Consider the following 15,666-nt stretch of genomic DNA (forward strand, 5'->3'; position numbering starts at 1 on the left):
CGGTAGCCCTCCCACCCCACACACAAGCACACACCCGTGCTGCTTCGTGCCTTTGCAAAGCTTTTATTTCATGTCTGCGGCATGGAATCCACCTGCACATGGCATCTTAGCTGTGAAGGAGAAAGCAGTGCACGAGAAGGAATGAGTGGGCGGAACCAACGGCCTCCACAAGCTGCCTTCCAGCAGCCTGCCAAGGCCATGGCAGAGAGAGACTGCAAACAAACAAACACAAGCAAACAGAGTCTCTTCACAGCTGGAGTCTGAAAGCTCATAGTGGCATGTGTGAATCTGACAAAATTAAAAGTGTGCATAGTCCATTACATGCATAAAACACTAATAATAATCCTGTTTACACGTGACTGCAGCAGGCAGGTCCAGCTCCACCACTGCCCTCCTGCCACATCACATCAAGTGCCATGGTTTAGAGGGTTTTTCATATGTAATTCTTTTATTCTGTAAAAGGTAACAAAATATACAGAACAAAACTTTCCCTTTTTAAAACTAATGTTACAAATCTGTATTATCACTTGTATATAAATAGTATATAGCTGATCATTAATAAGGTGTATAAGTACAATGTATTCTAAAACTGTTAAGCAAAAAAAAAAAAAACAAAAAAAAAAATCCAAGTGTCCTCCTCCACCACTCACGCTGGTGATCACTGTGCTCTCTGCCAGCTGCGTGGAGTGACGGGAGGAGGGAATCACTGTGTGTGCGAGAGTGCTTCAGACTCAATTTCCAAAATAATTTTCACCCCTCTAAGCATGTAAATATACAAAGATGGATCCTTCATAGAAATTAAAAAATCAATTTGAGCTCATTTCGAATACAGAACAAGTATGGCACAGATGGAAGTCCTGCCACGTTTCCTTTAATGATGCTGACTCTTGTATCACACAGGCCAGCATGAAGTTTCTTACTCAGACTTTACAGGCATTTTCCGTAATTCAATCAGTCCTGCTCCCAGCACAACACAGGAGGTGATTCGAGAATAATCGCGAGAATCAGGCCTGCTTGGCACTATTACAACTGGGGAAAACAAACCAGGGCGCCTCCCTGGTTCCCAGCCCAGAATGTTTCTGTTGGGTAACTGCTTTCTAAAGGAACTGGGATCTGAGGGAGTTCCTAGACTTGGAGCACTAAAGACACAAGCGTGGCGGGGCTGGCAGCGCCCGCTATGAGCACCCCTCTGCCCTTGGTCCTGGCCTGGCTGTTACAGGGCCTCGAACTCGTCGATGCGCTGCTTGGTGTTGCCCTGCCGGATCTGCCGCAGCGTCTTGTACTTGTCCCGGCCTTGCCTCATGTTCTCGTTGTGGATGATGTCATTGTGGGTCCTCTTATTCTCATCTCGGGCCTGGGACAGCTCGCTGCTCAGCGTCTGTAACATTAAGCAGCATTGGTCTAGTCCCTTCCTCCCCATATGGCCCGGCCCGTCCCCTAGGAAAACAGGAAGGGCAAGAGGGGTGCTGGGTGGGGCTGGCTCACATCACTGCCCTCCCCAAGCCTGTCTGCTCCAAAAGCGAGGCAGGCTCCCTGGAGACAGAGCCCCTTGGGCCTCACCAGCAGCTGCCGCTGCACACGCTCGTTCTTCTCTGCCTCAGTGATGCGCTTCTCCTCATTGCGGTCATCCCGGATGCCCTCACTAGACAGCTCCGCGCTGTAGCCCGTGGGCTCTGCGCCCTCATCCTGCAAGCTCTCCTGGACATGGTAGCTCACCGGCTCGTACACGGGGGGTGGTGGGGGCGGGGGTGCTGTCATCACCAGGTGCAGCTCCTCCTTGGTCTTCACCAGGTCATCCTGGGCTTCTTTGGCCTTTGGAAAGCAAATTAATAAGAGGACTTCTCACCCAGAAGTCCTATCCTCCTGGCTATGAGAACAGACTGTCACCTCCCTCTGTCCTGGCAGGCTAAGGCAGCACTGAACTGTGCTGGGCTGTGGCTTCGAAGAGGAGCACCCTCAGGGTGCATGGGGGGTTTACAACCCTCTGCGTCCAAGACAGGAAGAGGAACTGTGATGCCGGAACCTGGGCAGTTTTAAAACTACCATTTCTTTTTTTACCTGTAACTCTAGACATTATATAATTTTTAGAAAAAAAATCCTGTTAGCATGAGTAACGGGCTCTGTTCCTAGCCTCCCTTCATGCCACAGTCATTATCAAGTGCTCTCCTGCTCGCCACTTGCAGTCCTTCCAACAGCTTCACACACACCCAGTCCCGCCCGCCTCCATCCCAGCCAGCCCTAGAGTTGAGCTTAGTGTGGATCTGCTTTGTAGCCAGCTCTCCTCACTTAACAGGTACTTTCTCCAAAAACCTAAGAACCAAAGTCTTCCGCTTGCAACTTGGGATGGTGATATGGCTGTGTCCCCACCCAAATCTCATCTCCACCTGTAATCCCCCCATGCTGGGGGTGGGGGGCATTACCTGGTGGGAGGTGACTGGATTACGGGGTGGTTTCCCCTATGCTGTTCTCGTGCTAGTGGGTGGGTTCTGAGCAAGAGCTGATGGTTTCAGTGTTTGGCATTACCCCCCTTTGCTTTTCTCTCTTCTGCCCTCATGTAAGAGGTGCCTGCTTCCCCTTCGCCTTCTGCCACGATTGTAAATTTCCTGAGGCCTCCCCCAGCCATGTGGGACTGTGAGTCAATTAAACCTCTTTTCTTTAACTACCCAGTCTCAGCTTGTTCTTTATAGCCGTTGTGAGAACAGCCTAATACAGATCGGCAGCGGGAATGGGGGCTGGAACAGAGGCAAGGAGGTACTAGGCAGCAGCAGCCCTGGAGAGCCGGGAGACACGTCCCCAGAAGGCACCTCCACAGATGGAGAAGCCACAGTGGGGGAAGGACGGGCCAGCGGGTCTGTGAAGGAGAGGAGCTGCTTAAAGCCTGGTGTGCAGTCTCCAGTGGGAACCATCCCCAGAGCTTCTCAGGGGCTGTGCCTTCCTGGAGGGCACAGGGGATCCCAGACGGAGCGACAAGCTCTGTGTGCGTCCCACAATGAGAGCTACAGCTGACTAAACCTCTGTGCTAGGTCCTGGGCATGGGACCTCGCATCTGCAGAGCAACCTTATGAGTTGGGTATTGCCCCCATTCTACAATGAGGAAAATGAGGCTTGAAGAAGTGATGCTACTAGCCCCCAAATAGCTGATGAGCAGCAGAGCCCAGCTCTCACTCCAGCCTGGAGACGTCCAAGGAGCTGGATCTTTCCATGGTGCCCGCTGTATATACTAGCTGCAGGAGGTCGTGTTTCAGGCACTGCGACCCCATTGCAAGGGGCACATATATAATTAGATTTAAAACCAGTTCCTGACCGGGGGCTGTCAGATCAGCACTGAACAGTTCGGGGTGGAGGGAGCAAAGTGGGTGAAAGTCAATCAGAGGTCCTCCCTCTATGAATCCAGCAGCTGCACTGACTCGTGTACAAAGTCAAACCCATCTCTTTGGGGATGTCTACTTCAGTAGTACAGCTGGTATTGGCAGAGGATCATGAGACATCCCAGAAGCTTCCAGTGGGATGTGGCAGCTTGAGCCAGACCTCTCCCCCAACCCACCCACCTGCAGAAGGGCCCCACCGCAGGCAATTGGGCAACAGGTGCTGTGGCCGTGCGGAGGTGTCCCCCGTGCAGACTCACCCTGTGCTGCCACTCTTCAACTTCATCCTCCTTGCGCCTCCGCGCCTCTTCCAGGAGGGCAATCTTGGCAGTGTATTCTGCAAGCTCCGCAGCCTGGGAAGGGAATGCCAAGCTCACGTCAGTTCTGATATCCTTTCAACGGAGTCCAGTTGTGAATGAGTGTTCATGTGTGTTGGCAAGCAGTCTCCAACGTGACACCTGAGTCCCCGCCACCCCCACTCCATGGCCAGCAGGGTCCATTGTGCACCCCCGGCATCTCTTCCTGGATGCCCACACCCACCTTCAATGGGTGACCCTGGCAACAGCCCAGCCCCTTCCCCACCAGCTGCCTTCAGCCCCCCAGCAGATCAGTTTACAGCTTCCAGTCATGACAATTATTACAAGGCAGGTGTCACATTTTCCATCCTCAGAAGCAGCCTCTCTATAATTCAGCATCTTGAAACTCAGGCCATTCCTACCAGCTGCTCCTGGCTCTTTATCTGATCCACCGCCTGTCTCTCCAGCTCCTCCTTAGCCCGCAGTGCAGCCATACGGTCAGCCTCTAGGCGCTCGGCCTCCTCCTGTGCCCGCTTCCTCTCCTCCTCCAGCTGCAGGGCCCTCTGAATCTGCTCCGAGAGCTCTGCAAAGACACAAAGCCAGAGCCATTCAAACCCTCAGCCCAGGGACCTAGGAGCCCTCGCTTTCCATTCCCACCCCCAAAGCCACAGAGCCCTAGACCAAGTCACAGGTTGAGGGGATGTCTTCCAGTGACCCTGGAGGAAAGCACTTCACAGAGCTCATTGCTGCTGTATCCATGACAACTTCCTCAAGATGGCTAGAAACCCGTCCAACGCCAGCCAGGCGCCCTCTCTCTGGCATGCCTGACTCAACCCTCTTGGCGCTACTCTCCCCAGGTCAGCCGCCCGCTGTGCTGGTGGTCCACACTCCACTCAGAACACAGAACACCCTTCCCATGTGTGCTGTAAGGGCTGCCAGTGAATACAGCATCTGTGGCGCCTTGTGTAATCGGCCCAGCTGCTGGGGTTGTTGACTGGAGCTGTGCTGGGAAGTCTGGCTCTGAACACGCCTTTGGGTTTTAGTCTAGAGGTCGAGGGCAGTGCAGCATGGCCCTGTCAGTCATGGGCTGGGGGACTGTGGGCAAATCACTGTACCGCACCAAACCTTACTGTCCTCATCGGGGAAACTGGGTGATTGAGCACTTACCGCAAAAGACTAGGGAAATTTTAAAATACAAAGTCTTAGAACAACTAGCATCAAAGTTAAATAAGTACAGAACTGTTTTCCAAACCAAATAACCATTTTATCATTTCGGCTGTGAGTCTGCGCTGTGGGACACGTTCTTGGTTTCCTTCCTGGTGAGTGGGTGGGTGGGTGTGGCCCCTGCTACTCTGTGGAAATGCATGACCCAGTGTAGAGTGCCAGCCCCAGGGCGCCTGACCTCTCTCTGCCTTCTTTGTCTTCTCCTCATAGTCCTGCAGCCGCAGCATCAACTCCTCCTTCTCGCGCATCATCTGCTCTTTCTCTCTCTCCACGGTTTCTCTCCTTTTCTTCTCTGTTTCCAGCTGTTGCCTGGTGCAGGGAAAAAGAGGCACAGGGAGATTTAGACTCTGGCAGGAAAGTGAGGGGTCAACACACTTCACGGGTACTTGAAGCTCCAGGATGGACTTGGTATCCTGAGGGCCACCCTAGCCTGCTGCCAGCCTGAGCTGCCTGACGGAGCAGCCGCTCCAGGGCTGACAACAGGCTCAGCACCACAGCAACCGCCCAGAGACAAAGGCCTCGAAGATCCCAGCGTGGTGACTGGGTTCCATTCCACCACACTCTCCCCATCAGCTCCACAGTCACCTGACAGGCACTGGCTGCCAGTGGCTGAGTTGGGAGAACACAGGCCCCCCCCACTCTGGCCTCACGCGCTCACCGCTCCAGCTGCTTCTGATGCTTCTCCTCCCGGGCCTGGGCCTTCATCTGCTGCACCTCGATGGTGTCAGGCTTCCTGCGGCGCATATACAACTCATGGTTGCCCATGCAGAGCTGCAGGATCCGCTTGTTGATTCTCAGACGTGGGGCATAAAACACAAAGTCCTACAAAACAGAACAGGGCCACCTGGACTCAAGCTCCTTCGTTTGGTTTTCTTCTCCAAACCATCCTTCACAAAGGTCCAGAACTTTTCTAAAAGAACAAATGTAGCAGAACAGGGATGGCAGCATCTCGGCACTAGGAATGTGCATTCTCCAGGACAGATGGAGGAAGGGCACGTGCCGCGTGTGTGTGCGGTTATGTGTGGGTATGTAGCACTGGGAAAGTGCATTCTCTGGGACGGGTGGAGGAAGGGCAGGTGCCGCGTGTGTGTGCAGTTGTGTGTGGGTAGGGACATCCTGCATGCACACTGAAATGCCACTGCACGTTAACTGCAAAGCTTTTCCAAGGTGAGAACTCTCAGCCTTGGGAAACCTTTCAAGTCTCAGAGCTGCCTGCTCTTCCAGGTAGCCACCTTTCATGATGTCCTCTCCAGCCTCACTGCTGCTCCCCATCCCCGATGCTTGCCTGGACTGCCTCTGCTGCTATTTGGGCTTCCTGTCTCCTCTGCCACAGCCTCCCCTCCCACACTGTTATTGCTACACTGACTGGGTCACCACCCCGACCCATCACTGCCAGCCTGGGAGCTCCAGGATGAGCTCCAGGGCCTGGGCCCAACCCACACAGAGACCTTCCAGCTCTGGGCCCAGCCTCCGCTGTGCACTCGGTTCTCTCTCCTCAAAGCTATCCAGCCCTGCTCCTGCCACACCAGCTACAGGTACTCGCCGCAGTGGCACTGTCACTTCACTCCAGTGACTCCTTTCAGCATCTCACTCCTATGAGGCCATCAGCTCCCAAGGGCAGGGGCCACACATTCACTCATCTCTTATCTTCCCAGGGTATTTGAGGTGTGCAGTACCTGCCAGGCACTGCCAGCTCGTGCAGCACAGACAGCCACGTGCGAGCTCCACAGCCTTGAGCACATCCCTTCACCAGGCTCAGTGCCTTCAACCATAAGGCAGGGATGCCGGTATCTCAAGGGACTTCAGATATGGGACTCAATCCTCCCAGCAGTCCCATTAGATGCTGGCGTCCCCGCCTTATCGGTGACGTTCAGGAGGTGCTCGGCGCAGGAAGAGCTGGCTGACACACACAGCGGTCACTCCAATTGCTAGTGCCTTGCAAGACCACAACCAGAGGAGCCTCCTGGAAAACAAGGCAGAATCACAGCCTTCGGGAAACTCGTGACCATGACTGGAAACATTTGGGACACAGCTGACAATCTTGGTCCCAACTCCTTGCTACTGCTGTGATTAGCTTACAAGACAGAAGAATATGGTTTAGAAACTCCCATGAAAAGTTATTTTTCAGTGACTCTGTTGGCTTCCTCTTAACCTCAGGGCCCCCAGCATCCAGCTTCTGACCATTTGGAACAGAGGGACAGGGTGGCTAAAACAAAAAAACAGTGCGATATATCCCACAGCAACTTCTGAGACCTAACGAGGAACCGGCTGAGCGGGCTCATCAACACATCCGAGAAGAATCTATTTAGCTTCAGTCTTTTCATCTGTTCCAGAAATCCTAGGGTGAGAGGTGATGCCAAGCCCTGAGAGCCCATGAACTTCCTGGGTGGGGCTGTCTTTGGGGTTTCACACCCTTGCTGTTAAGTCATTGGGTTTCCCAGGGAGGAGTCTGTGGAGCTGGGAGCAATCGGCATTTTTATGACCCACCTATCCCTTATTACACAAGAGGAAACAATCCTGCATTACAGCTTTGGAGGACTCTACCAAATAGGCCCTGACTCAGAAAACGCTGATTAGCACCAACTCCCCTTTATGGGGTTGTGGGGGTGCATGGGTGGGGGGATCAATGAAAAACCTCAATGGTTAACATAACAATGTCTCCCTCTCTCCCTTTCCCTGCAGAAGACAGGTCCTGCCAGCAACGGGAACCAGAATTTGGGGAGTCCACTGCCAGTGGGTGAGGGAGGATGGTGCCTGGCAGGAAATCTCTCCCAGTGCCTTTGAAGGAAGCCGGTTTCTCACTTCAAGTTAAAACAAAGACTCATACTGAAATGTTTCTAAATCCAAGTCCCTAACCTGATGCAGGATGCAGCTTCCTGATGCAGAACCACAACACGACAAGACCTGGAGCAGGGTTTTTAAACTGGCCGAGGACCAGCAAGGTAAAAATGCAAACCAGGCACAAGGAAAGTTCAAGAAAAATAAACCCAAGACCCTACAAATACAGAAGGAGAGAAGGTAAAAGAGCCCCTTTTCAAGTCCCCAGGATGCCAGGAAACTCTCCCACAAGAGGCCAATCCCAAGGCTCATCTGGCCGCAGAGATGGCAGGAGGCAGCCGCGGGAGGCAAAAAGGCAGCGGGGCTCCTGGGAAGGTCACGTGGGGGAAGCGTCCGAGGAGTCAGAGCGGAAACGCTGCTTACTTTCTCCAAATTTCAGATGCCTCAGAGCCTTCTGCCTTTTCCACAAGGCCACAGGAACAAAACGCCCTTTTGAAAGGGAAAAGGCAGCCGCCTCAGCCCCTCATAGTGTCACCTGGGCAGGCCGTGTCAGCTGTATACAAGGTCCCATCTAAAGAGCCAAAGTGTGGCCCCAAACTGCTGTATGCACCTTGGCAGGGAAGAGAAGCTGGCTTTTAAAAAGGAGACGCCAGTTGTTGGGTGAGAACTGGACAAAGACTCATTTGTGAGTTCACAGCAGAAACCGCCTGGGGTGAAGATGACCCGTGAAAGTCAACACAAGATAAGGAATCCCACCGCCTCAAACTTTGGGCCTCTTCTTTTTTACAAGAAAGTTCGATGTCGAAAACTTGAACTTCTTCTGCCCAAAGTTTACAGACTGAGGTGGGGCAGTGCCTCGAGCAGCCCTGGGGTGCTGTGGGGGTGACAGAACTCCACCTCCTCAAACCAGCAGTGCCCACTCAAGGCAAATGCTGCCTCCTCAGTGTGGCTCCTGCCCAACCTGCCTAAAGGAATCTCACCCCCATCTTCTGATCCGGCTTAGTTTTTAATCACAGCTGTACTGTTAAATTTACTACCAGGAAGCATCTCAGTTGCCTTTTTAACCCTTTCCTTCACGTAAATGTAGGCTCACCAGGGTAGGAGCTTTGCCTTGTTGATGGTGCACACAGCCCTGGAAGAGTGCCTGGGACAGCGTGCCACCAGCGAATGTTTCTTTTGCTTACGAGATGGCTTCACATGAGGCTACTCTATAATAAAGGCACATGCACGAGATGCGTTACAATGGCTTCTGCTTGGGGCTTATTATGAAAATATTCTTCAGCTTTTCAAGAGATGGACTTATCATCAAACACACACACACACACACACACACACACACACACACACACACGCACAAACATTCTGAAACAGTCTAGTCCAGAGCTGCTGCTCTAGTCAAATTTTTAATAAGTGTTCTGAAAAGGCAGTAGCGTCACAGAGTACGTAGTAGCCTACTGATGAAGAGATTTCAGCATTTTCTTGCTCTTCTAAACTGTGCCAATCTTACTACCCAAGTGACATGAAGACGCTATGACCCTCCATTCATGCTGTTGCATAATATGAACTGCTGCCATGGAGCCTTAGAGTCTGCATTCAATACGCGTTTAATTTTAAATAACCGTGCAACTACCCACAGAGTAGCAGCCAAGAGTTTGCAAACAGCAGGAGCCCTTTTTTTTTTTTTTTTTTGAGACGGAGTCTAGCTCTGTCACCCAGGCTTGAGTGCAGTGGCGATCTCAGCTCACTGCAACCTCTGCTTCCTGGGTTCAAGCGATTCTCCTGCCTCAGCCTCCCGAGCAGCTGAGATTACAGGCGCCCACCACCACGCCCAGATAATTTTTGTATTTTTAGTAGAGATGGGGTTTTCACTGTGTTGGCCAGGCTGGTCTCGAACTCCTGACCTCGTGATTCGGCCATCTCAGCCTCCCAAGGTCCTGGGATTACAGGCGTGAGCCACTGAGCCTGGCCAAGACGTTTTTAACAAAGAAGAAAATACTTTCACAAAATTGTCAAGACCTGCTGATTTTAAATTATGCTAGACAAACCTGTATGTGGGGAGAAGTAACAGGACAATAACACCACATACTGTTCTAAGTGGATTTACCATTGCTAAGCAGTACCCAGTCCCAAAAGGGTTAACAAGACAACCAAGGTATGGACCACAGCCCATGTTTGCCTCTCCAAGCTTAACACTGTAACTAAGGAACCAAAATTACATGAGAACACAAAGTCCTTTCCAATCTATAATTTTCGTAAAATTCAGAACAGGCTCTAAGGTGGTAACAGAATTTCTTCAGGTGGCAATTTTTTAGAGAACTAGATTTCTGATTAGATAACAAAATCCTTACCCATTCTACAATGCTACAGTTATGTGCGTATGTCTCAAATATTCTGAGTTAACAAAAGTTTAAATGTCAGCAGAATAAATAAAACCAAATTTACATAATGCACTGGTCTTTGCAGCTATTACAATCAATACTATCAGATTTCAGGACATAAAGTGTCGCCTTCTTACCATGTCCTCCCAAAATGACTGCCTGCCAGTGTCACCTGTGTGAGGATGCACACCTCTGACAACAGAAGTGGGTGAAGCCCCGATGAAACCTTGGGCACCAGCAATGCTTGGGTGCAAGTCTGACTGTCCCTATCTTGGGTAAGTTCCAGGACAGCTCTGAAAGGCAAATCTGGCCCTTGAGACTCGCAGGTCCCACTGTCCGTCAGGTGCCGGGGAGAGTCCCTGCACCCAGGTGGTCAAGGGGACAGGCTGGCTCTCCACACCAAAAACACAGCATTTTGGGAAATGCTTATCATTTGGCCAATGGCTCAGAACTGCCCTTTTCTTCATAAGGAATGAGAATCATTTGAAAAGTTAAGTGGTCTCCCCTGCAGCAATTGCCTGGCCCACAGGATCTCTGGCCCTCAATGTAACCTCATGAGGAGTTTGGACTATCACTGGCTACTCGTCACAGTATAACTTGTCCGTTACCCTGACAAGTATAAGAATGAAAAACAGTAGCCCCTGAATAGAATCCTTTGGAACTTACAGGTGCCTTCTTGTCGATGGGTTTAATGACAAACTTTTTGTCATTGAAAGAGATGTTCCTGATTTCACTCCAAGGAAAGCCAATCTTTGGGGTTAACCTGAGGTTAAAAAGAAGAAGTGGATGGTTAGATGTATACATATGTTCTTGGATTGGCTAAGAGAGATTCGCAAATCAATTCTTATTAGTTCAATTAAAATAATATGAAGCTAACCCAAGAGGCACAATGTGTTATATGCTATTATCAAATAGTTCCCACCTGTCCTAGGTTAAGCCAAGTGGTTGGCTGCAAGGCATCTGCAACCTTAATCTGTTCCCATTTCCTTTGGTTTTTCCTCAGTCTAGGGCACCTATGATTACCCAGGCTGGTGATCTCGAGGTCAACTGAAATTCCTACCCAGGTACCTTGACCCTCCCCCTCAGGTATCTTCTGCTGTTCATTCCCACATCACATCACCACACTCACCTACCTCTCATCCTGCCAGAGCCCACTCTCAAGCTGTGTGCTGGAGCAGCCCTACTTTCAGTCTGCTGATCTGATTAATTTCCTCTCCTCCCATGTCAACACAGTCCTTAACTCAGCATCCAAGAGCTGTCAAATCCAGCCCCAAACTCCACGGTTCAGACCCACCTTTCAACACACAGTTCCCCAGGGCTGCCTCCCTTTCCCTTGAGGCCTCTCTTAACATACAGGCTCTTCTGCTACAGACTGTTGAATGTTATTTAAGTTACTGATCATTTAGTTCTATGAAACCAACAGGGAGGGCCAAGATCCCATCACGTTCCTAGACGTGCCATACTCAACAGAGCTTGCCAAGAGAAACGGACAGAGGCCTTGCTATGCATTCTGCTCCTCTGGTTCTCATTCCAGTGTGTGTTCTCCTGGCTGGACAGACATCTTCCCATGTCACTCTCCAACTTCCAGGACAGCCTTCAAACTAACCGCCCTAATGAAGGCCCCACAGGGCTAATCCTACTTAACCAATGCAATGCCATGACTGGCCAGACTCTGGCTTTTATTAGCATTCCCAAGTTCATCATGTGACTTCAAGACCACATTGCTCTGCTCACCTGACACTTCCCACCCTATTCTTCCAACACATTTTACCAGGGATAATGCCATTCTGGAAATAACGACAAATCCTCAAAACCACCATCCAACAATGCTGCCCTCCAAAGCAGTCCTTTCCAACATCCCACAAAAACCTTCATTTTAGAAGTAGCAGGAAGGTCAAGCAATCTATGGCCTACCAACAGCTTCAATACTGATGAGCAATACAGGTTTCGTTATGATCACATCAACTAGATCAAGGCAGTGGGGTGGACTCTGTAGGCTGAGGGCAAACATGTAAGCCTGACATGGCCCTTCTGGGGAATTAGCGCAGTCAGTCATGGTGTGCCTGCAGGAATGATGGCAGGACACTGGCCAGACCATGGTTCTAAATGTCAAAGCTTTTGTATACATCCTTTCTTTTACAGTGCTATGCTCTAGAATCACCAATCCCCATTAAAAAAAAACACACCTGGCATTCAAACAGACATGCAATGAGTTTGTTCTTTTATCTTCGAGATGTAATTTTCTTTACAGGTTTCAGAGCATTAAAGGGGAACTCCAGATACCACCTTGCCCTGCTACTGACTTCAGCCTATGTCCTCCTTACATTGAAAGGCTGTGAAAGTGGCACCAGGTAGGCATGTGTTGCTTCTGGAGCACTTTCTCCCAAAACACAAGAGCAGCCTGCTGGCACCAACAGAGAAGCTAGGATCCAAGCTCCGGAGGCTCCGCCCACAGCACATAGCACTGTGAGCCAGCGTGCCGCATCCTGAAACTTCAAGGGGCTGGGATCCCCTCTCCGGCTCCTGTCTCTACACAGGACTCTCAAAACAGGTTCTGACCTTAGAAAATTTAGGCCTCCGGCTCTCTGGTGTGCCTAGAAAGTTTTTCCTCTTAGGACTTTGAAACCTCATATAACAATTCATAGCCACTCATAAGCATAACTGCAGTATCAAAACAAAAAGGTTAAACATGAAAATTATGACTCACTTTTGAGTTAAAGAACTTTTAATTCTTGACCAAAGTTGGAAAATTAAAGCCCAAGGATTTCCTTTTTCCTAAGAGATCACATATAGGACATGAACAGGGTCTACAGAGAAGGTGGCCACAGGGTTTATAAGTGTCCTTGCTTAGGCCACACATTAAAAAAGCGTGATTCTCCAATAACAGGGACCAGACAGAGGCCTTTGGAGAAATGGCTGATTCCAGGACTAGAACAGGGAACACAAAGGATGAACCTGGTGCATCTCGAGGAGCCAGGCAGCAAGGAAGCCTGCAAAGAATGCAGGGCTCACACTTCAAGGTGCTCCTAAAGGCCAAATCTCAAACAACCTGAGCAAGAAGATACATACTCATAGATCATAACCCAAAGACCGAAACACATATCCATGAGTCCATATTAATATAACTGAATAAATGGAGAACAGAAATTGGCTCCTTATAGAATTCCAATTAATACACGTAAAAAGTTTTTAAAAATCACAATTTCTCAAATACCACAGTAATCTCATCAATGGTAGCTAGAACTAGGACATCTACATAGTTTAAAATTATCTCCCCCAAATATACTGACCAATTGTAAAGGGAAGGATAGTGATTTTACAGTGGAGAAACGTGGCAGACACCACCTTAACTAATAATCAAAATTAGCACCACCTAAGATAAGATATACCGACCACATGTGCCACCTTGAAAGAGGTCCTGGAAGGGCAAAACAGCACTTTATTCTTACCAAAAATGTAAAACTCCAAATAATGAGAAAACACCAGACAATCCAAGCTGAAGGGCTTTCCAAAGTCAATGGCCAGTACTCTTCAAAAATACCAAGGTCATGACAAAAAAAGACTGGAACTATCCCACATCGAAGGAGACAGGGAGGTCTGACAACTAACTGTGTGGCTCCAGAGAGGGTCCCGGGGCAGAAATAGGACATCAGTGAGACAACTGATTAAAATGGGAATGAGGTCTAGAGACTGCTAATGTTAATTTTCTTATCTTGGTATTTGGACTACGGTTACATAAGGTGTTAATGTTTGAGGAAGCTAAGTGAAGGGTATATGGGAATTATTTGTACTATTTTTAGAATCTTTTTAAAGTTTGAAATAATATATATATTTTAAATTGAGATGGGGTCTTACTCTGTCACCCAGGCTAGAGTGCAGTGGCACAATCTTGGCTCACTGCAGCCTCCGCCTCCCGGGCTCAAGTGATCCTCCCACCTCAGCCTCCCAAGTAGCTAGGACCACAGGCATGCACCACCACGCCCAGCTAATTTTTTGTACTTTTGGTGGAGACGGGGTTTTGCCATGTTGGCAAAGACCAGCCCAGGCTGGTCTTGAACTCCTGAGCTCAAGGGATCTACCTGTTTTAGCCTCCCAAAGTGCTGGGATTACAGGTATGAGCCACCATGCCCAGCCTGAAATGACTTTAAAATGCAAGAATGGGCCAGGCATGGTGGCTTACACCTGTATCCCAGCACTTTGGGAAGCCAAGGTGGGCAGATCATTTGAGGTCAGGAGTTTGAGACCAGCCTGGCCAACACAGTGAAACCCCATCTCTACTAAAAATACAAAAATTAGCCAGGAGTGGTGGCATGTGCCTGTAATCCTGGCTACTCGGGAGGCTGAGGCAGGAGAACCGCTTGAACCCAGGAGGCAGAGGTTACAGTGAGCTGAGAATGTGCCATTGCACTCCACCCTGGGTGACACAGTGAGATTCCATATCAAAAAAAAAAAAAAAACCAAGAATGATTAAAAAATGTAAATCCAAAATATGTAGCTGAGTGTGATAATGTTCTACATGTCTTAAGATTTTGCATTTTTCAGGCATATTTGTCAGAACTCAACAAATGAACACTTAAGATTACATTTCATTGTATTTAAATTTTACATCAAAAGAACAAAACATAACCAACCTCTAGTATATCATATGCACTTTCATTTTGAGGAAGGATATGGATGCCTGCAGTTTTCTTGGAAATGTGTTAGAGGGCCAGAGGGTGACAGTGGAGTGCATACGGAAAGAGACGTGAGAAAGCAAGCGAAGCCCTGAGTACCTATCCGCAAGGAATTTAAAGAAGAGACATGTTCTGTGGCTCCTGTTTCAGTCCCCAAGCTCCCCGTGCACCCTTTCCCTTTAAGGTGGAAGCCCTGGACCTAGTGCATTTCCAGAAACTCCTACCTACAGAAGGACTTCTATGATGAAATCTGCCCAAAGAGGGATGAAGCTAAGGGAGAAAAAGTGCTTTTACAGGACTAAAGATCAGGTTCCTCTAGTTTTTGTTAGTTTTTGTTTTTGGTCCGAGTGTCAGGTTTCAAATTGTAACCCAGCTAAACTGAACTTCCTCTGTTCACAAGCTTACAATGCCTGTCAGGAGGGCGCTTACCTGTTTTTGCCCTCTTTATACTCCCACCTATTCCAAGCTAAGGGTTTAAAGAAAGATGACAAATAGTCCTACATGCTCCCACTTAATGCTTATGTGTACAATGAAAAGGGAACCCCAAGAGACAGATTTCCCAGCCAGACCCTATTTAATACTAAAACAGGTGTTTTAATAGAGACTTTACTTGCAGAGTATAAATCTCTTAGAGCTCAATTTCCATATTCAATAGATCAGCTTTCTCACCTGAACAATGTTTCAGGCATATCTAATTCTCCTAGTTCTACCGAGAGAGGTAACAGCGCAACAGCTGGCGAGTTCTCAGCACTCCTCAGACTTCAGGACAGTCTCCTGCTTATGCTGCTACCAAGTTGTCAATATTTGTTCAAAAGGGAAAGAATTTGGGCCTATTAAATGACTGAATATCTACATAAATGCTTTTTTCATGAAGAGAGGGGTGTGCCTTCAGGAATGGGGAGAAGAGAGGCAGAAAGTGAGCCTGCCCAACACCCCAGCATGCTCTGTGGGG

The 15,666-nt window shown here is 49.2% G+C and overlaps 1 protein-coding gene across 3 annotated transcripts in view, besides 2 other annotated features; it reads right to left on the bottom strand.

Moving 5' to 3' along the window:
• EZR (ezrin) overlaps positions 48-15,666 on the bottom strand; it is a 53,621-nt gene continuing 38,002 nt past the window's right edge. For all 3 annotated transcript variants that reach the window (NM_001111077.2, NM_003379.5, XM_011536110.2), the window contains 7 exons: positions 10,708-10,804; positions 5,544-5,707; positions 5,064-5,194; positions 4,084-4,244; positions 3,626-3,718; positions 1,561-1,812; positions 48-1,378 (listed from right to left, as the gene is read on the bottom strand). In NM_001111077.2, the coding sequence (NP_001104547.1) occupies positions 1,214-1,378; positions 1,561-1,812; positions 3,626-3,718; positions 4,084-4,244; positions 5,064-5,194; positions 5,544-5,707; positions 10,708-10,804 (1,063 nt within the window). In that variant the 3' untranslated portion in view covers positions 48-1,213. The remainder of the gene's footprint in view (positions 1,379-1,560; positions 1,813-3,625; positions 3,719-4,083; positions 4,245-5,063; positions 5,195-5,543; positions 5,708-10,707; positions 10,805-15,666) is intronic.
• Positions 5,755-5,961: a silencer, noted in NCBI's record as "fragment chr6:159192487-159192693 (GRCh37/hg19 assembly coordinates)". NCBI's record gives its function as "represses an EF-1alpha promoter that drives an FKBP-Casp9 reporter gene in an ReSE screen in phorbol 12-myristate 13-acetate-treated (for megakaryocytic differentiation) K562 erythroleukemia cells {active_cell/tissue: K562(+PMA)}" and the evidence as "EXISTENCE:reporter gene assay evidence [ECO:0000049][PMID:32094911]".
• Positions 6,899-8,098: an enhancer, noted in NCBI's record as "MED14-independent group 3 enhancer chr6:159193631-159194830 (GRCh37/hg19 assembly coordinates)". NCBI's record gives its function as "activates an origin of replication core promoter dependent on BRD2, BRD4, P300/CBP and CDK7 cofactors, and independent of MED14, by STARR-seq in HCT116 cells {active_cell/tissue: HCT116}" and the evidence as "EXISTENCE:reporter gene assay evidence [ECO:0000049][PMID:35650434]".

Source organism: Homo sapiens, chromosome 6 (genome assembly GCF_000001405.40).
Source record: "Homo sapiens chromosome 6, GRCh38.p14 Primary Assembly".
NCBI classification, from domain to species: domain Eukaryota; kingdom Metazoa; phylum Chordata; class Mammalia; order Primates; family Hominidae; genus Homo; species Homo sapiens.